The sequence below is a fragment of the Homo sapiens genome, chromosome 8, assembly GCF_000001405.40.
Source record: "Homo sapiens chromosome 8, GRCh38.p14 Primary Assembly".
NCBI classification, from domain to species: Eukaryota; Metazoa; Chordata; class Mammalia; order Primates; family Hominidae; genus Homo; species Homo sapiens.
This window is the reverse complement of record NC_000008.11, coordinates 120,939,364-120,966,409: the sequence shown is the minus strand read 5'-3', so window position 1 is coordinate 120,966,409 and position 27,046 is coordinate 120,939,364. Positions and strand designations below refer to the sequence as shown.

The following is a 27,046-nucleotide window of genomic DNA, read 5'->3' as shown; positions in this document are numbered from 1 at the left end:
ATAGTTATTGCATGTATTTATGGAGTACAATGTGGTATTTTGATACATGTATACATTGTGGGATGATAAAATCAGGCTAATCAGCATATCTCTTACCACAAATATTTAATGTATCTTTGTGGTGAAAACATTCAAAATTCTCCTTTTAGCTTTGTTAAAATGTACAGTTTTGACCATTTCCCAGTACTGTTCCAGTTCTGTGTGCAGCCTGAAAGCCAAGTTCTGAGAGCTGCCTGGAAGAATGTCTTCTACCAGTTATCCCAGGAGCAGAACTGAGCTGTCTCCCACAGGATGCCACCAAAGACCCCAAGACATCCTATAGACAGTTATTTTGGCCTGTATGATACCATCACTTGATTTTCTCTCTTTACAGACAGTCCTTAATGTGGGTTATCCAGGAATCCCACAACAAAACATCCCACTGAGAGAAAAAGGTTTTGGCTTTGTACACAAAGATTTAATGTACTTGCAGCTTTTGGAACACAACATTTCTCTTCAAAAGTTTGCCATAGAATGGTGACATTTGTCAAGACTAAAAAGCTATAATTCTATTCATATATTACTTTGAAGTTGAAAACTAAAATTGCATTTACTGGACATAGATTTTAAATCCTCTATTTTCAAAGTAACCACAGACCAATCTTTTACAGTGAGGTCTTATAGCAGAGTAAATTTCATGGTGGTTGCTGCTTCTAAAAGGATTTCATGACGTTAAGCTTATGAACCCAGGCTTTGGCACCAGGTTTCGTGCGTGTAAGTCCCAGCTATGTCACCTCCCGTAGATACATGACCAAGGCAAAAGCACTTAACACTAGGCCAGTATTTCCCAATCTGCTGAATGGAGCCAATCCCAGTGCCTATTTCAGAGTGCTGTTGTGAAGACTGGACTTACTGTGTCTAATGGAATCTCGCTCAGCAAAATGCTTGGTCTGCAGCAAGCACTCACCAGATTGTGTGAGCTAACTCAGTGCCCATCACAATTCCAAAAGACACAATCCTGAGCGCCATAATCCCAAGTGTTGAAATCCCAAACAATCAAAATCCCTAAAGTCTAAAATCTCTAACGTCTAAAATCCAAAAAGTCACAATCCTGAAGGATTAAAATCCCGAATGTTGAAATCCTGAAAACCAAATTCTGGGGAAGGAATTTGTGTGTTGGGTTATTCTCAGGGTAGTTGCATCATGGTAGGCAGAACTATTACCTTGCTGTTTTTTATTTGGAAATTAAGTATGGTTTAAGATGATGTGTTTGGGTGCCATGTTGACAAGGTGGGAACTTGTGGGCTTATTTTAAGTGTCAATTTGACTGGATTAAGGATGCGTAGAAACCCGGTAAAGCATTATTTTGGGGGTCTGTGAGTGTTTTCAGAGAAGATGAAAGTGTTAGTCTGTGTAGATATGGTGGGGGAAACTCTTCCCTTACGGCTTGCAGGCACCATCCAATCAGCTGGGGGCCAAAGAACAAATATGGAAGGCAAATTAGTCTCTTTCTGAGAACTAGGACAGACCTTTTTTTCTGCTGCCTTGGACATCAGAACTCCAAGCTGTCCTGCCTCTGAACTCTAGGACTTAACACCAGTGGCCCCCCGGGTCCTGAGGCTGTTGGCCTCAGACTGGGAGTTACACAATCAGCTTCCCCAGTTCTGAGGCCTTTGGACTTGGATTGAGCCATGCTAGCGACATCCCAGGGTCTCTAACTTGCAGATGGCCTGTCCTGGAACTTCTCAGACACTGTAACTGCATGAGCCAATTCCCCTAATCCTCTCATTTATCTATACACATATCCTGTTGGTTTGGACTCTCTGGAGAACCCTAATACGGATTTGGTATTCAGGAGTTTGAATATTATTCCTTCCTACTGTATGCCTTACAACATAATGGAAGAAATCAGTGAAACTATTTCCTTGCAAAAAGGCTATGAGTTAAGTGTATGAGGCTTCTTAATGGTGAAAGGTAGTTTAAAGAAAGTTTAAAAGCTGATTATTATTGGTGCTGCAAAAGCAAAACAAAATTGCTTAATTCCAAAAGCCAAACAATAGCTAGGCTTTCAAATGGAACTGCATATACTTATAAAACTTGTAGACCACAACTGCTTTCAAAATACAACAAGTGTTTCAAAGATCATAGAAAACAAAGGGTGAAAAATGAAGAATTTTCCTTTGCCAAAGCACCAATTCACTGTGCTATGTATTTTATCTTCACATCATTTCCAATACTGGAGTTATAAATTACGTAGTGATATGGTTTGGCTGTGTCCCCACCCAAATCTCAACTTGAATTCTATCTCCCAGAATTCCCACATGTTGTGGGACGAACCCAGGAAGAGGTAATTGAATCCTGGGGGCTGGTCTTTCCCATGCTATTCTCATGATAGTGAATAAGTCTCATGAGTTCTGATGGGTTTATCAGGGGTTTCTACTTTTGCTTCTTCATTCTTCTCTTGCAGCCATCAGGTAAGAAGTACCTTTCACCTCCCACCATGATTCTGAGACCTCCCCAGCCATGTGGAACTGTAAGTCCAATTAAACCTCTTTTTCGTCCCAGTCTTGGGTATGTCTTTATCAGCAGCATGAAAATGTGTAGACTCTTAAAAAGTTCTAATTTGTTTTATGTAGTTTTTGCAAATTTGACTCCACAAAAGCACATTATCACAACATTGACTCTGTGTAAGCATTGTATGTGTATGTAAAAGCATTGAAACTTCCTTAATGAATGAAGAAGTGTTCTTTTTGTATATCTGCATTTGTGAAAGATGATAAGATTCCTCAAGATCTTATCTCTTTGGGCGACTGCAATAGGTGGTGGTGACTCATTATGGTTTTTGATTCTTTTTATCAAGAGTTAGGTTTTCCATCATGGTATTTCAGATGACCACAGTTATAAAGGTGGGTGCACACAGTTACCAACTATAGTGACATGCATCTATACATTTCTCTTTTTGACGTATTTCTTTATGAATACAGTTCATCTGCTTAAAACTCTGATATCCATGTGACTGTCATTAGTATACCTGAGTGTTTAGGTATATTTGCAAAAATATGTATGTTATTTTTGCCTATTTTATTTGTAAAGTGGCCTATGAAGTGTTCTAAGTGTTCTGTTGTGTTTTTATATGTTTCTCAGGTAAATTGCCTTTTAAAAATGTAAACAAGCATATTTAAAAAAATTTTTTGTGTAATTATACCTTTCTGATTTTGATCATTTGGGATTGTGATTTGGGGGATTGTTGACTTTAGGAATTTTGATCCTTAGGGATTTCAACATTTGGGATCATGGCATTTAGGATTGTGTCTTTGGGATTATGGCACAAACTCAACCAAGCTAATTAGGTACTTTATTTTCCCATTTTCTTAGATTTAGAACCCCTTAAAATGGATCAAACAGAAATTTCCTCTAATGTCATGACCTCTTTAATCAATGTAACACTGATGACCAAGCTCTGGGTGGCATCTGCCATCTCATCCTGGATCAGAAGGGTAGCCCCATGGCTTTAGAAGGTATAGCCCCTCGATTAGATCTATGCTGATTACCTAGTACATGATTAGTATAAATGCTAATTTTCATCTCCATAACTAAAAGGGAAACTCAGCTCTTAAAAGCACCGGTCTGGGGCCAGATGAATACATGTTAAGAGTCTCAGATCTACCTACCACTTTCTGTGTGATCTTGGACAAGTCCTGAACTTCTTCACTCCTCAGCTTTCTTATCTCTAAATGGGCTTTATAATAATATCATCCATATAGGCCTACTATGAGGATTACATCTGATGTGACACCGTGCTGAACACTTTATAAACATACTGTCTTCAGTGAGTACAATAATCTTTTCACTTTTGCAATAGATTCTCATTTTTTCTTTAAATAAAGACATGGTAAATGTGAGTGTAAAATAAAGTCACTGTGGGAAACAGTTTGGCAGTTCCTCAAAAAAGTAAATATAAGATTACTACATGACCTAACCATTCCATTCCTAGGTATATACCCAAAAAAAATGAAATCATATGGTCATACAAAAAAATTGTACACAAATGTTTATAACAGCCGTATTCGTAACATTCAAAAATGTGTAAACAACCCAAAAGCCCACCAATTGATGAATGGATAAACACTATCAAATGTTATTCAGCCATAAAAATAAATGAAGTACTAATACATTCTATAACATGGATGAACCTCAGAAACTTTATGCTAAGTGAAAGAAACCAGATATAAAAGACCATAGGTTATATGATCCCATTCATACAGAATAACCAGAATAGGCAAATCTATAGAGAAAGTAGACTGGTGGTTTCCTGGAGCTGGAGGAGAGGAGATGGGGAGCTAATTGGTAAAGAGTTTACTTGGGAGGGGTTGTTGATTAAAATATTCTAAAATTAAATTGTAATGATGGCTGCATAACTCTGTAAACCTACTACAAACAATTGAATTACACAGTCAAAATGGGTAAACTTTAAGGTATATAAATTACATTTCAATAAAGGTGTTTCAAGGAATATATGTAATGGTAATTGTATCTACTATAAGTTCTTGGCTGGGATGCCTAACAGCTTCCATATTGCTTTGCATGTTATCAACATTTAAAAAGTAGCTATTGAATAAAGAACAAAATGTAGAAGCCAAACTTTTCCACTGAAATTTCCTGCCACTGTCACAGTCTCACTCTCCTTCTGGCCCTAAATCAAGCTGAATCAAGTGCCAAAATAAGCCTAAAGAAGTTAAAAGTAGCCAACTTTTTTGCTGCAAATAGATATTGGTGTAGGAACTAGACCTTACGCAGCCTGGCTCTTCAACCTAAAAGAGCAGTAGTTTCCCACCCACAAATACATTCTCTTTCATCCACAACAAACAGTTGAAGACTAGAACTGTGTTTATAAACGGTCGCCAGACTAAAAGATTTTAATTACTTAGTCAGCCATACCATTGTTTCAATGAATTTTTCCTCCGTGTTTATGGGTTGAAGAAAGTAACCTAATTGATTCTTTCATTTAATTAATATGTATAGATCACCTACACTGTAACAAGAACTAGTCCAGGTATTAAATCTACTTAAATAATTAATCAATTTTCGGCATTACCAAACAAAAACATTTCTTCAAGATAACTCAAATGTGCTCATAAAGATTCAATAGGGATGTTAATTTATTTAAACAAGGTTCTGGCCAAATAGCCAAATAAAGTCAAAAAGGAGCCTCTAGTTGCTTAGATGCAGCCTGAGATTTTCAAGCAAAGAATGGTAACACTTTACAGCCCACTAAGAAACCATTTCTTACTACTCTGGTCCTATGTCTTTTACTTACACTGAAGTATTGTTAATCCAAAGAGAATGTGGAAAGGCATGTAATTTCCAAACGATAACCTGATTTTCCAAAAACAAATTGCAACTAAGATTTTCAGCACAATAAAGATGAGAAATGGCACAGAAGAAGACAGCGTGATCCACTGAGGCACCAAACTTTAATCCTTGGCCTCCTCCACGCTGTACGTTTTACCTTGGCCATTCCCTTCTGCTTTCAACTGGCTTCAATTACTTCTAGCTTTGGCTTCAGCAAACAACAAAGTATTGAAAACTCAATTTTCCATTCTTCAAAGTGCATTACTGAGAAAAAGTGAAATGCAAGGCAACAAAGAACATTTAATCATTAGGATCTTGCCCCTTGCTGTGGGGAAACCACACAGCTTGGCCCACTTCCAAACCCAGAATGAATGAATGAGCAAGATTCTCAGGGAAAGCCTTTAACTACAGCTGCTTAGCCCAGAGAGCCTGCCCCTTTATTGCTTTTGGCATGTCTGCCTCTGTTTCTAATGGATCACCTTCCCTCGGGAATTTGCAGAGAGAGAAAGGTGCAGCCTTATGAATTCATGTTTCCATTTCCTTTCTTTTCTTAAGAAACAGACTTCAGGAGATTTAATTTTATGCCAAAACAGAAAAGTCTTGAGTCTTAGGACTAAGAGAGCAGTTAGTTGTGTTCGTCCTCTGCCATTTATTGTCTCTGAAGAATGTGGCACTTGCTTGCGGTTAAGGTTCTGGGCTACAGTATATCAGACACTGAATATTCCCTAAGCTCAGACCTCCAGGGCCCCTGTAGCGGCAGCATCACGGACCCTCTCCCCGTCCTCATATGTCTTGAAAAGGTAGATCACCATTATGAGCCCAGCAAGGGCAACTAACGCGGGGCTACCATCCTAGAAGTGAAGCTGTCTAGACAAGCCAAGTTAAGAGTTACTCGGCTTCTATCCTAGAAATTCTCTCCTGATTGCTTCTTTCACTCAGGCTTCCATAAAGCTAGTGCAGGAAAACAGGCCTGACACTGCACTGTGACATTTGTTGTATGTTGCCACCTGCTATCACATCCATCTAAATATTGAATATCACCTTAATTTCCTTTTGGGGAATTCCTTCTACCCTTTCTAAACATAGTCTTGCAAGTGTCATTAAATCACCATACCCACCTCTAGCCAAAGGTGAGCACACGACATAAGCTGGGGCCACATATGTTCTCTTCCCCAAAGTTTTCATCTTCAGAATGATTCAAAACAAAAATTGAACACAGATTTTTTTTTTCTTGGGGTTGGGGGAGTGTTTAGGACAAGGTTTTTTTTTCAGTTCTGAATATAAAGAATCCACTTACCGGGCTCCCACTGCCCCCAACCACACACAGACAGCTGGTGTAGTCCCTTGCTGTCATTCCTCCTTCCTATTCCATGAGCAACTCCACATCCTTCCAAACTCCCTCTCTGCATAAGTTAAGCAGACTCAGTTTCTGTTACTTGAAATCAAGCAGCTGCATCATAACTTCAATTTTTCTCAGTTTAATAAAGCCAACTCGAAGATGTAACTAAGAATCTGGCCTCTAAAGATGGACTATGTTTCCAATTCTTCAAGGAAATCTTAATAAACGTATTTTAGAATTGTTTACAGGCTTTAAAATCCTTTCTCTGTCTCTCTCTCTCTCTATATATATATATGTGTGTGTGTGTGCATGTGTGTATGTATATGTGTGTATATATATGTGTATGTGTATGTTTCTACATATACACACATAGAGACTATATATGTATTATATATATATAATACAGAGAAACAATCTCATTTGAGACAATAAAAACTGACTGTTCTTTTGTAACTATTGCTTATACTTTATAGAAATTATTAACTGAAATAAAAAAAGTGAAGTGGATTGCTCAAAAAATAGTGGGGTTATAAAGAAATCCTCATATTTTCTGGCTCCCAATTCAGAATGTGTTCAAGTAAACAGAACACAAAATAATGAAACTAAATCTTTTAACACATACTACCAAAGTATTACAGGTTACTTATCTCATTTAATCCTCTTTAAAACCTGCTAAGATATTATTAGGCCTATGTTACATTACAAGGTAACTGGGGATTTTAAGTGAATTGCCTTGGTCCTCAGCTAGTAAATAACAAAGTAAAGCAATGAAGCCCAGGCAGTTTTGACTGTAAAGTCTGTGATCTTCACCCTACATCATGTTGACTCTCTATGAAAACAAACTCTTAATGCATTTAAGGCAGAATAAATTATTCCATAAATGTTCCTTAATCATCGATGTAATACCAGGGTGAGAGACAGGGGAGTAGATTCCTACCACAAAACCTAAATCAAAATTAATTCAGCATAACTTGAAGTGTTTCATGTTTAAAAATGAAACAAAGCAAATATAGAATAAAATATAGGCAAAATTTTTCTGATCTCAGGGTAAGGAAAGCCATTCTAAGCAGAAAAACAAGTAAGCATCTTAACGAAAATTGTTGATATATTTGACTGCATATCAGTTGAAAACATCTGTAGCATAAAAAGTAACATAAATTGAATTCAAAGACAAACAGGAAAAATATTTTCAGAGTACATTACACAACATGAATATTTTTAGTATATAAATGTTTTTTTCTAAAACAAAAAGAGAATAAACCCTTCAATATTTTTATATTTATTTATTTATTTGAGATGGAGTCTCACTCTGCCAGGCTGGAGTGCAATGGCGCCATGTCAGCTCACTGCAACCTCCACCTCCCGGGTTCAAGCGATTCTCCTGCCTCAGCCTCCTTAGTAGTTGGGAATACAGGTGTGCACCACCATGCCCGGCTAATTTTTGTATTTTTAGTAGAGACAGGGTTTCACCATGTTAGTCAGGCTGGTCTCGAACTCCTGACCTCATGATCTGCCTGCCTCAGCCTCCCAAAGTGCTGGGATTACAGGTGTGAGCCACTGTGCCCAGCCTTTTATTTTTGTTTTTTTTAAAACAGGGTCTCACTCTGTCACCTAGGCTGGAGTGCATTGGTGTATTCACAGCTCACTGCAGCCTCAATCTCCCAAATTCAAGCAATCCTTCTACTTTAGCCTCCCAAGTAGCTGGGACCACAGGTGTGCTCCAACATGCCGAGCTATTTTTTAAATTTTTTGTTTCCCTATGTTGCCCAGGCTGGTCTTGAACTCCTGGGCTTAGCAATCCTTCCCACCTTGGCCTCCCAAAGTGCTGGGGTTACAGGCATGAGCCATCATACCCATCCTTTGAGTTTTAAAAATAGGCAATAGTCATGACCACTCAAATTACAGAAAAAGTCATATGCATGAGCAGAATACATCTAATGATAAATTTAGATTCACTAATAAAAGAAACACAAAGCAAATAAATTATAGGCTTCTATTTTTTACTTACCATATTGACAAAAGTTTGTATTAGTCATGTCAACACTATTATAATGCCAGATGCTGTGAAGGGTGTCAGAAACACTAAATTGGCACAAGTTCTACAGAAAACACTTTCATATTATCTATCAAATGTCTTAAACAATGTCCGTACAACTCGTCTCAACGGGGAAGACTTTTCAAAAGGCATTTGTTTTATGCAATACAATGCAATGAAGTTATTGAGTGACAAGATAATTTTCACCTTCTTTTATATATACTTTCCAAATTTTCACAATAAATGTATACAGGAAAGTATGTGTGTGTACATACATACATGTTTTTATAAGTAAAAATATAAATGTATAAGCATAAAATTGTGTGTATACACATATATAAATATATACATACATATATAAGGTTTTTTAACATTTGTGCGAATTTAAGTTTATATACATTTAAGCACGTGTGCGTGCTGAGAAGTTTAAACTCATTGTGATATAAACAAGAAATCATTTTATTCTCATTCTCCTCTGTCAAATTTCCTTTTCCCCTCCATATTGACACCTTAGGCATATTCCAGGATTCCTGAACACCTTCAGTTATTTAAAAACACAGTCCTTTTGTTTTAAAGCAGTCTTTCTCCCCTGATTCAACCTCCTGTTTCAGCACCTAGCAGCCTCCTAGCTTGGAACCTAAAGTAGGGAGCGGGGTGTGGTCTACGCTTTGTCTTTCTAAAGCTTGGGTGGGAACAGAGCATTGTGGGCTTCGAGCACTCTCTGCTCCCTCCTTTCTGGATCTAGCGCTTCCACCCTGGGGGCTAAAAAGAGGAGAGCAGAAGGAAGCACCAAGACTTGGGGTTCCCTGCCTCACCTGGTTGTTAGGTCCTTTTTCCCTGGGAACACTAGGGGGCAGTGGTGCCCTGCGTGGTGCTCCAGAGGCTCAGCTGGCCCTGCAGACTCCTTCCCAGGGCTCCTGTTTGCAGGACTCAGCGGTGCATCCATCTCCCCCACATCCCTGCCTCTCTCCCACCACTCTGATGTTCCCTCGGAGCCTTTTGCTGCTGGGATTTCTACCCAAGCAACTACGTCGCTCAGAAAAAGACCTCTGGAGCTGACCACCTTAAAAGAAAAACCAGACGCAGATTAAATTTAACAGAGTTTAACTGAGCAAAAAACGAGTTTTCAATGGGGCAGCCTCTCAAGCCAGAGTAGGCACAGAGAGACTCCAGCACAGCCACATGGTGGAAGAAGATTTATAGACAAAGAGGCCTACAGAAAATGGAAGTGAGGTACAGAAACCGCCATTTGGCTACAGCTCCGCATTTACTTTATTTGAATGCTGTTTGAACAACTGACCCCCGTTGGCCAAAACTCGGTGATTGGCACAAGAGTAGGTTACAATCTGTTTACAACTCCATTAAGTTATAGTTCACTATGTACAGAGAAACTTTTAGGCTGAGCTTAAAATATGAAAGGAGGCAGCTTTAGACTAAACTTGATTTAACAACCTCATGTGGGTAGCTAAGAAAGAGAGAATAAAGAGAAAGCAACTGAATCCCTCTTGACACATCTGCTTCTCTTAATTCCTGTCACTGTGAGCTCTGGCCAACATTATCTTCTGCCTGGATTACTCAAAGAGCCTCTTAGCTCCCTGCCTCCTAATCCCCCAACCCCAATCAATCTCAACTCTGCAAGCCAGCAGACTCCTAAAACACACATCCAATTAAAGACCTGTGGTCACTGATTTCCCATATCCTTAAGATAAGCTCCAAACCTACACACAGGGGATACAAGATTGGCAACTGGCCTCTCTTCACCTCACCCTCTACCTCCTTCTCCCTGTTGCATCCTCTCCAGTTCTGGACAGACTGAATGTTCACTCCCCTCCAAAGGGCCTCACTCCTGCTTACCCTAAGGTCTCCACGGAGGTGCTTCCTTCTTCCCACCGCACTCCCCACCACCCCAGCATGGTCATATCCTTACCTAATTCATGCCCCCATCCTGCTTTCTATTTCGATTCAAGCTACACTTACAGGGCCCCCATCCGAACACAAGGCAAGCTGTCATGTCCCGTAACATCAGCTGCCCTGCACTCACTGCTATTTTGCAATCATTAATTTCCGTGCACTCTAATAGGCAATGCTTTCACTGAAAGCTGGATTGTATCTTTCATAGTTAGAGGTTTATACCCCCAGGACCTAGCACATAGTCACTTGACCCATAATAAGCACTTAACTATAAATGAATTAATTCAGATGGAAGCTTACTTCTGGGTATCTCTTGGGCTCCTCTGCAAGGCACTGATGGGTACAGGCAAACTGAATAATCTGAAAGAATTACACTAAAAAAAGAGTATTTTCAAAAGAGTGAGCAGAGCTTATGGAAGGCAACAAGGCCGGGGCAGCATCCTGGGGACAGGGACACCAGGGAGCACTCACCACACCTTGGGTGTAAAGGGGAAGAGAAGGGAGCCGTGGGTAGTCAGGATCTACCCAGAGACAGAACTGGATGGAGAAGGATAACTGGCCAGATGCAAACCAGACATAAGCCTGCAGCTCAGGAGGGAGTTGGGGAATAAATACTCCAAGTTCTCTCTCTTACCCACTGGCATCTCCTATTGGTGGCATCCATGGCCTGAACCAAACCAAATTCAACAGCAAAAGAACACAGTGATGGGTCCACATAAACCAGGCTTCCAGTGTGCAGAGCAGGGTGGAGACGAATGGAGAGGAGTAGAATCAGAGCACCAGCACTGCATTAGCAGAGGCAGGTTTCAACTTTTTTTGCCCCATATCCTCTCAGTGCCCAGTACATACGGTGTGTCCGAAACATTTATGAAAATGAATAAGGTGAATTGAACTGAACTGAGTTGAACTGCTTTGAACTGAATGGAACCAACCAGATTGCTGAATAGTTTCCAAGTCAGGATTTGTCCCATCTTCAAGTTATAATCATGGATATTGCACCCCTGATTCCTGATACACTCACGCCAAGCCTCTGGGTTTAACACAATTAGGAAGGCATAACATCCCATGTTCCAAGCAATTGCAGTGAAGCCTGCAGTTTACTGTTACATGACATTTTATATGACTTGATGTTTTATCTTTAATGACTGGGTCTCCCTTCCCCCAAAGCATATAGGGCATAATTTAGGCAAAGAAATATTGGTTACATCTGCAGTTTCAAACCAAAGAGGTAGTTAATGTTGCAGGTTTATATACATGCATTAAAATAAAAAAAGTGAAACTTTTACTTGAGATTTCTTCATGCATTTAGTGGCAGCATCTATAAAGGCCTCCAGGTGCTGGTATTGGCTCGCACACGGCAGCACCTTGTGAATTATCCAGCTGGCAATTCACGGAGTGCAGCTTGTCAGAGCACAGAACCATTTGAATGGCAGCTCATGCTGGCGCAGGTGACATGCCAAAGGCAAGTCACTGGCATCCATTAGGAGGGCAGTCAACAGAGTCCAGGAGTAAAAAGAGTCAGTCAGGCTGAGTCACAGTGACTCAAAAATAGCCTGCCCAATAATCAGTTATCTTAGTGGAAAAAATTGCCAGACTTTTAATTTCAGGTAACAACCTGGTTATTGGATTATCCTGCTTAACCCGTTTTGTTATTTTAATGTGGGTCCACTTTAAGAAAAATAATATTTAAGCCCAGAAATGAAATTTGAACATAAGGTGAACAGTTGGACTAGAGGGTCTTTTATGACTCCAGCACTAGAAACAGGACGCACATCATCTGCTATAGGAGAACTACTCCTTGACAGACTTTCTGTATAATAATGAAAATCATAACAGTGATTTCACCCACCATTTAAAGTATTCCATGCAATTAAATCATGCTATAAAAGGATTATAATGGCTGTACATGGGATAAAAACCACCTACTTTGATGTCAAGGTTCTCTGAGTCTGAACTGATAGGACAACACACACACACACACACACACACACACACACACACGAAAAAAATAACAGAATTCATGTTTTGTACCATCAGCTATAAAATAACATCATGATCTAATCAGTTGTGTCACATACGGCAACTCAAAAAAATTACAGCATTCCCTAAAACCTACCTCTTCTACATATTTCAACAGAAGAGTGATTTTAAATTCTGTCAAATAGCATTAAGTGGGGTAGAAATTTGAAAATGGTGAGGAGAATCTTTAACCCAGAAGTATAAATTTTATTTTAATTAAAGCTATTCAGAAATTATTAGCCCCTTGGAAAGTCCTGAGAGAGGTACTGGAACCAAAAGAACAAAGGCAAGGAGGAGGAACACACTTGAATGACAGCCAGGTGAACACCCTTGTTGGCGGGGGGGGGTCTCTGATAAACCCACGAGTGCCCCTCTACTCCCTAAAACCTACACTTGAACACCTGCCACGACAGAAAATACTGAAGTCAGATTGAGACAGCACCAAATAGGTGACACCCTCCCTCTCCTCCCCCCTCATCCTCTTCTCCTTGGGCCATACCCTGGAAGAAAATGAAGGAAAACTGGTAAGCAGTACAGTGAGATGGGAGGGCCCACCTCTTCATGGTCACATGATCGTGAACTACAGCTCAGACCTGACCTTGGTGGAGGGAAGAAACTCTAATGAGGATCTGAGATCAAAGTTTTGACTTGGACCACACTAGATTTTTCAATACCTGAAATGAGACATTTTTGATGTTGAAAGTGACTTGGTAGTCATAGGATTTTCCTAAGAGATTATCACAGGACAGGAAAGTGAGAGTCAGTGGATCAGAGAGGGCAGCAGGTAGCAAAAAAATGATGTTATCATTTTTTCTGTGCACCCAATTAATACTAGCAAGAAAATGGTTACACATGGTACTGAGAGTTCATAGTCCCAACAGCCAATATTAATACCAATATTAATATTGACCTCTGCCCCCACTGCTCCCTGAGCCACACAAAGCACTGTATGAGGCTCTCCATGCAAGCTCCGTGCCCTCCTTAAGCCAATCCCTTCCTGCAAGGAGGAGTTTCTCTACTTGGTCAGTCTGAGTCACGCACACATTCATGAATTGAAGACAAAGCCACAGGATTGAAGTTCCTACTGGTTCTATTGTAATCAAGTAGAGGGTTAAGAAGCATTTCCCAAAAGGAAGGGATGCTGAAAAAGAAAAAAAAAAAAAAAAAAGATGGACCTTACAATACCAAACGTGTGGCCTACCACATCAGCACACCCGTATTTACTTGTTCTGTTGTCAGTTGTCAGAAATCATCTACTTCTGCCTTTTAAACTAACCTACTTTTTAAACTTTTTTTCTTGAATAGTAGGATTGATTCAGAGAATCAAGGAGCAGGATGTCAGCAAGGCAGAGTAAACGTGAGGTAGACTTAAAGCAAACTGATGTAAATTTAATTCCTGGTTCTTCCAGCAACCTGTACTATTTGTGACAAATCACTTCATATCTCCAAGCTTTAAAACTTCTGTAAGTCTTACAAAATTAACCTTAAAAGAGGGAAAAATAGTCATTAGCCACATGAATGACCTCAAAAACAATTCAATACCTCCAAGCCTCACAAGTCTTTTGTTTTGTTTCGTTTTTCGTTGAGACGGAGTCTTGCTCTGCCTCCCAGGCTGGAATCAAGCAATTCCTTGCCTCAGCCCCCTGAGTAGCTGGGATTACAGGCGCCCACCACCATGCCCAGCTAATTTTTGTATTTTTAGTAGAGATGGGTTTTCACCATCTTGGCCAGGCTGGTCTTGAACTCCTGACCTCAGGTGATCTGCCCACCTCAGCCTCCCAAAATGCTGGGATTATAGGCGTGAGCCACTGCGCCCAGCCACAACTCTAAAAATCTTACAAAATAGGGCTAGGCACCATGGTTCATACTTGTAATCTCAGCACTTTGGGACGCTGAGGCAAGAAGATTACTTGAGCCCCAGCGTTTGCAGCTACAGTGAGCCATGATCATGCCACTGCACTACAGCCTGGGCAACAGTAAAACCCTGTTTTTAAAAACCATAAAAAAACTTACAAAATTAATCTAGAGAGAGAAAAGAATAGTCAACAGCCACATAACTGACCTCAGAAACAACTTTTACATATTTGATTTTCCTTAGATAAATAAGTATATAGTCTACATTATTGTGCATTCATTAGATTTTAAAGATAACATCAAGGAACATAAAACTCAACCTTATTTTGTTAAACAATAAAGATGTCTACTTTGTTCTATATAATAAACTGCCCAGGTAAAGGTTTAAATATAAGAGAAAAAAAGAAAAGTAGAAAGAGATAGAAACACCAAAAATTCTAAGAAAAAGGCAGAGACAAGCACAACGAAATTAAAAAGTCAAACCCAGAAAAACAAGCATCACAGAACCTGAGCAATACAGTGACTTCTATAGAATAGGAGCACCATCTTGTGGAAGGTAAGGATACTGCAGCTGAAGGCTTCTGATGCCTTACTCCATCTTCTCAACTATGCAACAATTGTAAACAGCAACATCACTTTCTTGGTACTTTTCCAATGAACCAAGTGAAATTAAGTAGAGGAACAAGACCCAATGTATGGACTGCAGGTTCCCCAATTCTTAGAGGAAATAATGGCTCATAGAATGTCTTCAAAACATCACAAATATGAGACACACATGAAAACATTCAGAATAAATCTAAAGGCAATGAAATTATAAGTGAGGCTGTCTTAATCTTAAGTTTTCTGTGACTTGTTTCACTGATCTCAATTAATTAGTGTATTTATTTGAATGTGAATATTTATAGAGTATATGTTATATACCCCAGATACCACTATGGCGGTGTGTGTGTGTGTGTTGCATGATTCCATTTATGTCAAATGTCTAAATAGGAAAATCCATGAGAAAGAAATTAGATTAACGATTTCCTAGGCTTGAGGTTTGGGAGCAAATGGTGGGGATGATGGCTAATTGGTACAGGCTTCCTTTTGGAAGTGTACCCTTTTGGGGGTGATGAAGAGGTCTTAAAATTGATGGCTGCTTGGGAGGCCAAGGCAGGCGGATCACCTGAGGTCAGGAGTTCGAGATCAGCCTGGCCAACGTGGTGAAACCCCATCTCTACTAAAAATACAAAATTTAGCCGGGCATGGTGGCACGTGCCTGTAATCCCAGCTACTCGGGAGACAGAGGCAGGAGAATCACTTAAACCCGGGAGGAGGAGGTTGCAGTGAGCTGAGATCACGCCACTGCATTCCAGCCTGGGTGACAAGACAAAACTCCATCTCAAAAAAAAAAAAAAAAAAAAAAAAAATTGATGGCTGCCATGGTTGCAAAGCTCATGAATGTAGTAAAAGTCACTGGAGTATTCACTTTCAAGGGGTGAATTCTATGGTAAATAAATTATATATAAATAAAGCTATTATCAAAACATGTATTTGTAAAGAAAATGCAGCAGAACTCATTGGGACATTTTTGAATATGTGTAATAAAGATAAAAATTTGCATTGATAAATATTTGTACATCATCCTTGTTAAAATATATGAATAAAATGTGTTCTGTGAAGGATTACCACTATTTGCTTGGTCTCTGTACCACACAGATCAGTCTGTACATATGATATAAAAACAAATTGTAATTTACTCCTACAGTCAAACAAATGTTGTTCTTTGACAGAGTGAACTCAAATCACTTACCTGTTTTGTGAAGCTGCCAGATACCACTTTGGGTGCTGGAGACACACCAGTGAATAATACAAGGGCCCTGGCCTTAAGGAGCTTTTGTTCCAGTGAGAGACAAATGATCAAGAAGCAAGTAATTGTAAAGTGCCATATGATATAAGATGTTATAATGCTAAATAAAGCGGTGTGGCAGACAGGAAGTGTAGGGATGAGGGAGGGGACTGCTGTTTTCTACAGAGTGGATAAATTAGTGAAAACTAAGCAGAGACATGAAATAAGCAAGGGAGTGAGTCATGTGGCTATGGAAGAAGGTAGAACCAAAAGCAGCTAATAAACGAGGTGCTTGGGCTCTGAAATCAGATATACCTGAGCCAGAATCCCAGCTCTGCCATTTACCAACTCTGTTACTTGAGCTCCCTAAGCTTCAATTTCTTCATCTACAAAATGAGACAAATAATGCATTATCCGATGTTGCAAAGGTTAAATGCATATAGAGTGCTTTTCACAGGGCCAGCCACATGACAAATGTACAGCAACTGTAGCCAACACCTATGTCAATTTGACCACGTGAACATGTAGATAGATATTTGAACACTCTTGTTTCATTTTTATGGGATTTTCAATAATAGCTAACATTTATTGAATGCTTACTCTGTACGTCTTAAAACCTCACAATGTCAAAAAAGGGTAACATTATTTTCATTTTATAGATGAAGAAACTGAGGCTTGATGAAGTTAAGTAGCTTGTTCATGTTCATGAACACAACTAACTGTGAGCCAGAAATTAGATAAAGGCCGTCTGACTACAGAATCTATACTGTTCGCCAGGATGCAAAACTAGCCCTCAACTAGAGTGCATGCAAACCAAGTGTCTGAAGCCAAAACCCAAACTCATACCTCCATTTCTTCCCACTCTGCTTAACGCTCACTCAGAATTACCTGATTTAATCATGCTACAATTCAAGTTTGACAGTTACACCAAAACTGCACATATATGCTGCCAAAACAAGTGGTCACTGTAAAGATTTCAAATTGCCTGGTCCAGTTGTTTTTCCATCCATAGAGAGCAACTTGTTATGGAGATGTGAAATCAATTTAGTCCACTGTAATCAACTTCTTTTGAAACATGGAATGGATAAAAACAGGAAGCACTACAGTCAATAACACACAGTAAGAATAAGTTTTGTTTGTTTTTTGTTTTGTTTTGAGATGGAGTCTTGCTCTGTCACCCAGGCTGAGGTGCAGTGGTGCAATCTCGACTCACTGCAACCTCTGCCTCCTGGATTCAAGTGATTCTCCTGCCTAAGCCTCCCAAGTAGCTGGAATTACAAGTGCACCATGCCCGGCTAATTTTTTGTTTGTTTGTTTGTTTTTAGTAGAGATGGGGTTTCACCATGTTGGCCAGGCCGGTCTCGAACTCCTGACCTCGGGTGATCCACCCACCTTGGCCTCCCAAAGTGCTGGGATTACAGGCGTGAGCCACTGCACCCAGCCAGAATAAGTTTTTCTTCTTGAGATGGAGTCTTGCTCTGTCACCCAGTCTGGAGTACAGTGGCGCCATCTCGGCTCACTGCAGCTTCTGCCTCCCGGGTTCCAGTGATTCTCCTGCCTCAGTCTCCTAGGTAGCTGGGATTACATGCACACGCCACCACGCCTGGCTAATTTTTTTGTATTTTTAGTAGAGATGCGGTTTCACCATGTTGGTCAGGCTGGTCTTGAACTTCTGACCTCAGGTGATCTGCCCACCTCGGCCTCCCAGAGTGCTGGGATTACAGGCATGAGCCACTGTGCCCAGCCCAGAATAAGTATTTTTAAGTAAATCCTCGTGATATGGTTTGGCTGTGTCCCCACACAAATCTCACCTTTTATTGTAGCTCCCATAATTCCTATGCATCATGGGAGGGACCTAGCAGGAGGTAATTGAATCAGGAGGCGGGTTTTTCCCATGCTGTTCTCGTGAGAGTGAATAAGTCTCATGAGATCTGATGTTTTTATAAAGGGCAGTTCCCCTGCACACACTCTTACCTACCGCCACATAAGACATGACTTTGCTCCTCCTTCGCCTTGCGCCATGATTGTGAGGCCTCCCCAGCCACGTGGAACTGTGAATTCATGAAACCTCTTTTTCTTTATAAATTACCCAGTCTCAGGTATGTCTTTGTTAGCAGTGTAAGAACGAATTAATACAGTAAGGATATGTATTTTTAAGTAAATCCTTGGTTCAGTTATGTGTATGTGCGTGTGTGAGCACTGCGTATGCTCTGTGTGTGATATAAAAATGCACTTTTTACAGTGGATTTTAATCTAAATACCTTGAAACAAACTGATGTAGGGGATACTCTTTGATCCTCTCAAAATATGATTTGTTGCCCACTTATGCCTTTTGCTTTCCAGGCTGGTCTGTTTAAATCATGTACCTATAAGATAAATTATCAAAATGGAGTTTTCATTCTTTGTTCAAACATGTTGCTGTCATGGATAGATGATATCTTTACCTACGTGTCAGAAAACCTGGATCAAGTGTAAAAATTTTTACTATTTTAGTGGTTATGATTCTCCCAAAAAACCTGTCAGATTTTTCTTTCATTGAGCAGACAAGTTATTTTAGCATCAAATATATATCACCTCAATTTACTAAGTATGAAATTTATGTCACACACTAAAAAAAATAAAAAATAAAAAAATAAAAAATAAAAAAAAAATCTCTTGCCTTAAAGAGACAAACTGGTTTTTGACAACCAGGTGAGTTCATAGACCACATGCTCAGCCATTCTTACGCATTTTTCAGAGTTGAAAATGTCATACATTTATATAATTTATTTGGAAGGCACTGACAATAATTGAAACATTATGGTCAGATTATTTCCTAAAATAATTCATTTAAGTAATTCAAGTGGTTGAAATTTAAGGGTACAAAACATCATGTGACACTAATAAAATTTTATTACTGTTGTTAAACTTACATAATTTAAAACACCTATTCAATTTAAAAAATATAGCTTCCTTCCTTATAACATAAATTTAATCTTTTAGTAATAGGTCAGAAGATGCTTTGGTAACTTTAGAATTTTCTTTATAAAATATAATTACTCAGAAACAGTGTTAAAATTGTGCTATTCATTCACCAACCGTTTTCTGTGACAGATAACATTTATCTGGGTAGCCCAGGTATAGTTTCAGAATTCCCCTCCACACTGCAACCACTACCAACTGAATAGTGTCGACATGGATTAAATGTATTTGTCCTTCTTATCATTAACCATTATATTGTCTAAGACCAATATTTTGGGGTTCAAGTTCTGTATCTTAGACTATCCCTGGCACTTGAAACAGAACAACAATCCAGTGTCATACAATGTGCTTTGTTTTATGGTTTGGAATATAAGGTCACAGCGTATTACATAACAAGGGAACCAATAGCTTCTCTTGCATAAAATAGTTATGATTAATATGACCAAGTCATGAGAAATCTAGCTTATCCCCATTGCAAGTGTTTTTCCCCACTGAACAACCACCACTCAAATCTTTTGTGAAATCAATAGATCCTCAATTTTAGATCTAAACAAAATAGACACTATATAACTAATAAACATGATACACTATATCAACAGAATGAAGGACAAAAACTATATGATAATCTCAATAGATGCAGAAAAAGCACTTCATAACATTCAGCATTTCTTCATGATAAAAGCTCTCGACCACCCAAGTATAGAAGGAACATACCTTAGCACAACAAAAGCCACATATGACATGCCCATAGCCAACATCATACTGAACAGGGAAAAGTTAATAGTTTTTTCTCTAAGAACGAGAACAAGATAAGGATGCCCACTTTCACCACTTTTACTCAACATAGTACTGGAAGTCCTAGCCAAAGCAATTAGGAGAGAGAAAGAACGAACCAGCATCCAGATGAGAAAGGAGGGAGTAAATTATGCCTGTTTGCAGATAACAGAATTTTATGTATAGAAAGACATAAAGACTCCACCAAAAAAAATTAGAACAGAAAAACAAGTTCAGTAAAGTTACAGGATACAAAATCAATATACAAAAATTAGTAGCATTTCTATACACCAATAGCAAACTGTCTGAAAAAGGGAACTGAGAAAGCAATCACATTTACAATACCTACAAAAAATAAAATAAAATACATGGGGATAATTTAACCAAGGAGGTGAAAGAGCTCTACAATAAAAACTATAAACCACTGATGAAAGAAATTGAAGAGGACACAAAAAATGGAAAGACATCCATGTGAATAGATTGGAAGAATATTGTAAAAATGATCATGCTACCCAACATGATCTACAGATTCAATGCAATCTCTTTCAAAATACCAATGACATTCTTACAGAAATTAAAAAAAAAAAAACTAAAATTATAATGGTACCACAAAAGACCACAAGTAGCCAAGGCAATCCTGAGCAAAAAGAACAAAGCTGGAGGCATCACACCATTTGACTTCAAAATATACTACAAAGCTAAAGTAACCAATACAGTCTAGTATTGGCATAAAAACTGATATATAGACCAACATAACAGAATGGAGAACCCAGAAATAAATCCATGTATTTACAGCTACTGATTTTTGACAATGACACCAAGAACTTATACTGGGGAAAAGACAGTCTCTTGAACAAATGATACTATAAAACAGGATATTTTTATGCCAAAGAATGAAACTAGACCCCTATCCCTCACAAGTACAAAAACCAACTAAAAATGGATTAAATATTTAAATGTCAGATGCAAAACTAGGAAACTACAAGAAGAAAATATAGAACAAAGCCCTTAAGGCATTTGTCAGGGCAAATTTTTATAGATGAGACTTCAAAAGCACAGGCAACAAAAGAAAAAAAATACACAAATGATATAAAATTGGAAAGTTTCTGCACAGAAAAGAAATCCACCAACAGTGTGAAAAGACAAACTTGCTGAATGAGAGAAAATATTTGCAAACTATTCATCTGACAAGGGATTAATAGGATTAATATCCAGAATATATATAGAACTCAAACAATTCAACAGCCAAAAAAAAAAAGTGATTTAAAAATAGGCAATGGGCTGGGTGTGGTGGCTCACACCTGTAATCCCAATACTTTGGGAGGCCAAGGCAAGAGGATCACTTGAGGTCAGGAATTCAAGAACAGCCTGGCTAACATGGTGAAACCCCATCTCTTCTAAAAATACAAAAATTAGCTGGGCATCATGGCATATGCTGTAATCCCAGCTACTTGGGAGGCCGAGGCAGGAGAATCACTTGAACCCAGGAGGCAGAGGTTGCAGTGAGCCGAGATCACACCACTACACTCCACGCTGGGTGACAGAACGATTCTCCATCTCAAAAAATAAAAAATATAATAAAATAAAAATAGGCAATGATCTGACTAGATTTTTTTTTTTTGACAGAGTCTTATTCTGTTGCTCAGGCTGGAATGCAGTGGTACGACCTCAGCTCACTTGCAACCTCCACCTCCCAGGTTCAAGTGATTCTCCTCCCTCAGCCTCCCAAGTAGCTGGGATTACAGGCACATGCCATGCCACCACGCCCAGCTAATTTTTGTATCTTTTAGTAGAGACGGGATTTCGCCATGTTGGCCAGGCTGGTCTCGAACTCCTAACCTGAGGTGATCTGCCCACCTTGGCCTTCCAAAATTCTGGGATTATAGGCGTGAGCCACCGCTCCCGGCCTGAATAGACGTTTCTCAAAAGAAGACATACAAATGGCCAACATGAAAAAATGATCAACATTACTCATCATCAGGGAAATGCAAATTAAGCCAAAATGAGATACCATCTTACCCCTGTTAGAATGGCTATTATTTAAATAGGACAAAAATAACAAATTCTAATGAGTATGCAGAGAAAAGGGAATCCTTATACACTGTTGGTGGGAATGCAAATTAGCATAGCCACTAGGGGAAACAGTATGGAGGTTCCTCAAAAACCTGCAAATTGAACTACCATCTGACCCAGCAATCCCACTACTGAGTATATGTTCAAATGAAAGGAAATTGATATGTCAAAAATATATCTGCCCTATGTTAATTGCATCACTATTTGCAATAGCCAAGATATGAAATTAACTGAAATGTCCAGCAAAAGAAAAGGAAATGTGGTGTGTATCTATGTAAACATATACATATATACACATATATATGTATATACATACATATATACACATATATATGTATATACATACATATATACACATATATATGTATATACATACATATATACACATATATATGTATATACATACATATATACACATATATATGTATATACATACATATATACACATATATATGTATATACATACATATATATACACACATATACGTATATACGTGTATATATACACACATGTATATACACACATATGTGTATATATGTATATATGTGTGTGTGTGTGTGTGTGTGTGTATATATATATATGCAGTGAAATACTATTCAGCCATTAAAAGAAAAAACTCCTGTCATTCACAGCAACATGGATGAGCCTGGAGAAGATCATGTTAAGTGAAATGAGCCAGGTACAGAAAGACAAATACCACGTGTTTTCATTCATATTTGGGAGCTGAAAAATTTGGTCTCATAAAAGCAGAGATTAGGATATGGTTACTAGAGGCTGGGAAGCAGGGAGATATGGAGAAGTTAATTAACAGATACAAAATTACAGCTAGATAGGAATAAGCTCTAGTGTTCTATAAATAGTGTTCTAAATTATTATTATTTTACCACCCACCTTGGTAAAAATTGAAAATTTTAATTATTTACATATTTCCCAATATTAAAACCTGGTAATTCTAGTATTAGAATTATGCTAACTTGTTAGAATCTAGCAAATAAATTTTTGAATTTTACCTTCATGAATTCCTAGTCAATACATCTCAGGATTGTTTTTAACTTCGTGTTTATAAAACACTACTCTTCAATGGGAAAAAACTTCTATCGGTAAAAGAATAAATGAAAAATTCAATAGATACTACACAGAACAACCGGTGCATGCATATATGCATCTATGTATTATGTATTTAATATACAATGCATATATATGTTACAAACACATACCTACAACTATGCCATTTACATACACACATAACTGCATACCCAGTACTTACTTGTTACAAATACATTAATTAATACAGTAAAACTTCAAGTTGTTCTACATTGATGTAGAATTCATAATAACTCGCCAAACTTGGAGAAGACATTTGCCTTTGGATCATAAGAAAGAATATATCTATTAAGCAAATTTGGTTAGCAAGAATTGGAGAGGGGGGCTGGGCACGGTGGCTCACTCCTGTAATCCCAGTGCTTTGGGAGGCTGAGGCAGGCAGATCACCCAATATCAGGAGTTCAACCTGGCCAACATGGTGAAACCCTGCCTCTACTAAAAACACAAAAATTATCCGGGCTCAGTGGTGGGCATCTGTAATCTCAGCTACTGGAGAGGCTGAAGCAGAAGAATTGCTTGAACCTAGGAGTTGGAGGTTGCAGTGAGCCAAGATCGCACCATTGCACTCCAGCCTGGGTGACAAGAATGAGACTCCGACTCAAAAAACCAGAATTGGAGAAGAGAACTATGGAAGAATGCTTTATGCTGTTTAAGAGAACAAACTTTTTCAGATACATTTGGAGTGTCTATTTGAACACATGGTGTTTTTATTTACATATATGGAGTGAAAATACTGATTAAAGATGTTCAGCAAAACAACTTGAATAAAAATGGTTAATAACTTTAATGCATTTATAAATACTTAGCACACACCAAATATAAACAATGAAAAACCTTGGGGAAAGTGATGTTAAGATATAGAAGGTTGGCTATAATTTATGTTTTCATATGCAGCCCAGCATTTTAACCTTGGGCGTTTTTTCTTGCTTAGCAGAGTATCTGGGCCACTTACTTCTTTTATTCTCCTAGAATCAAAAAGGTGCAAAAATCATTTTTACATAAGCCTAATAAAATAATTATGAAATAGAATGTTCCCCCGTCCAAATTTTATAATATTTTCCAAAAGCAATTATCAAAGATCTGGATACTGTCTGCTGTTTTCAATTAAATGCCTCATTACTTCCTGACACTGTCATGATTACTAGGAGTAGGTGGTTTCACACTAATTTAGAACTGTTCACAATACGTAATGCCAGAGATGGCCATTCTCACTTGCATTCTGAAGAATGTAATTCATTGACACTTTACAGATGGGAACAACTTGCATGATTAATGATACTGCTCTTTGTAATCTCACTCAAATGCCCATAAAAGGCACAGAATACCATCTGAAGAAAATATCTGCTTTACCCCAACATCAGCAGTACACTGGGAGAACATTATTTGAGTTTCTTTTAGAAGAAAGCATAGGTTTAATTTAAAGAATATATATTGTGGTTATTTGGTGGTTGGGGGTAGCAACTAGATTTCTGCCCATTAATGACAATAAATGTAGAAAACTCATGTGATCCCCTAGAATAAGCAACTCTGCAACTTATACATTGCGTGTTCCTACCCAATATATTTAATCTTTCTGAGTTTTCCTGTCTTCATAGTAAAAAATGAGGTACATGCTGTTTTGAGAATTAGAGATGATTATACAAAGTTTCTAGCACATAATAGGTGCTAGTGAAATGGCAGGTTAGTAAATGGTCATTGGCTAATCCATTCAGGCTCTTTTATTCTTGGGATGAACACATATGGCACAATAGGGGAAAACTTTCCTCTCACACCACACTTCTTGACATTTCTTAAAGCATGTGTTATACTCTGTCTTCCCAGAGATGAATGTTGGTGAACTGTGATAACATATACTGAAAGGATGTTTTTTCCAAATCTAACAACACTCAAATGTACACAAATCCATATAACGCAATTTGCTCTTGTGAATTTCAAGGACAGCATCTACCCTGCCTTTTTTCCTAGTAAAGGACCTTGTAACCAGGATAATGTTTCTGTCCCTTAGCCTTAAATACTGTGAGAAGGTATCTCCATAGAAGACTTTAAAAACACAGATATATTATTCTTTGAATCCCTTGATCAATGCCTTCTCTTCACTGTCCTAGCTCTCTCTTGCCAACCAAGGCTGCATTGTCAGTAGTTAATTTCAAACCTCTGATACTGCTGAAGTCCCTCTAATAGCTGCTTAAACACCTTGTCCTTACTTGATAATGCTTTTAGGAAAATGACTACAGGACTTGTCCTGCCAAATGAGTAAAAGAAGGCAAAGGTCATTTTAGCTGCCAATTCCTAATTCTACAACCGACCTGCTCAAAACAAAACAAAATTAAACACATACATCCCCTCATCAGTAGATCACCCACTGCTGACTAGTTTGTCATTGGACGGAGTTTGGATACCAGCTCCCTATTAATTATGCAGGACCTTCTCAGGGAAGCTGTAAGACTACTGATTGGCCAAGGGTGCTAATGTGCACCTGTGGCAGGTATCGTTTCTGCTATCACAAATATCCTTTAAGTAAAAACTCTCTTTTTGACATTACTGTTTTCAGTAAGAACCTACAGCAAGGAAGGGAATTATTCAAATATTCAGTCCAGGATCTAATTCCTAAACAGCTGATTAACCTTAAGGAGATGGATACTATGCTTTTGAATGGAAACCGCTCTCTGGATTTCCAAAGGAACACACCACGTCACTTGACAATTTCTCAGAATAACTAAGACTATATCACCTTTTATATTTAAAAGATATCCAAAGTTCCTAGAATAGTACTTCACACATACTAGTTATTTAATAAGTATTTGCTATAATTATTAAAATGGCGGGCAGAAGAAACATATTAACTATGTTCCATTAAGTTTGCTTTCAGATAGAAAAACTAAATAAAGTGTTTTGAGTAAGTTTATCAAACAATTCAGCTATTTCAACATCATAACCAAAATATTCTGCAAACAATGCTATGTGGCTATTTAACAATAAACCACAAGGAAGGTATGCAAAATTTTGAAGCACAGAATTGTTTATCCATTATAATTAATCATGGTTATAAATAGTCTTTAATTACTAATTTGCTTATTTGTAGTTTATGCTTCCCACAACCCCTCAATCCTACCAGGAAATCCTAATTCCCATCTAGAGGCAAAATTGATGATGTGATACATGTTAAAAAGCCCTAAAAATAAAAGTGCTACTCAGAAGAATGTTATGTATATTCAGCATCATTCGCATCCCTGAGTGACAATTCACTGTCATTTTACATATTTCTGGTGTCACACAGAACTGTCAAGGTTGTTTCCTCAGGACATCGTATTCATCTCACCCTAGTCTTCCAATATTAAAGAAACTTACTCTCTTCAGCTGACATGCGTGCTTAGATGACATTTAGAGTAGCATTGACCTAGAGTTATTCTTCTCAAAGATAATGGTTATTGTATTCGTTCATTTTTACACTGCTATAAGGAAATACCCAAGACTGGGTAATTTATAAAGGAAAGAGGTTTAATTGACTCACAGTTCCGCATGGCTGGGGAGACCTCAGGAAACGTACAGTCATGGTGGAAGGGGAAGCAAACATGTCCTTCTTCACAAGGTGGCAGGAGAGAGAATCGCAGAGCAAAGGGGAAGAGCCCCTTATAAAACCGTAAGATCTCATGAGAACTCGCTATCATGAGAACAGCATGGGGTAACTGCCCCCATCATTTAATGACCTCCCACGAGGTCCCTCCCTTAACATGTGGGGATTATAATTCAAGATGAGATTTTGGTGGGTTCACAGAGCCAGACCATATCAGCAGTTGAAGAATGTCCAGCTTTCCT

At 38.4% G+C, this 27,046-nt stretch overlaps 1 annotated feature.

The window, feature by feature from the left end:
- Nucleotides 9,464-9,513: an enhancer, noted in NCBI's record as "active region_27850". NCBI's record gives its function as "activates an Ori minimal core promoter by ATAC-STARR-seq in GM12878 lymphoblastoid cells {active_cell/tissue: GM12878}" and the evidence as "EXISTENCE:reporter gene assay evidence [ECO:0000049][PMID:35858748]".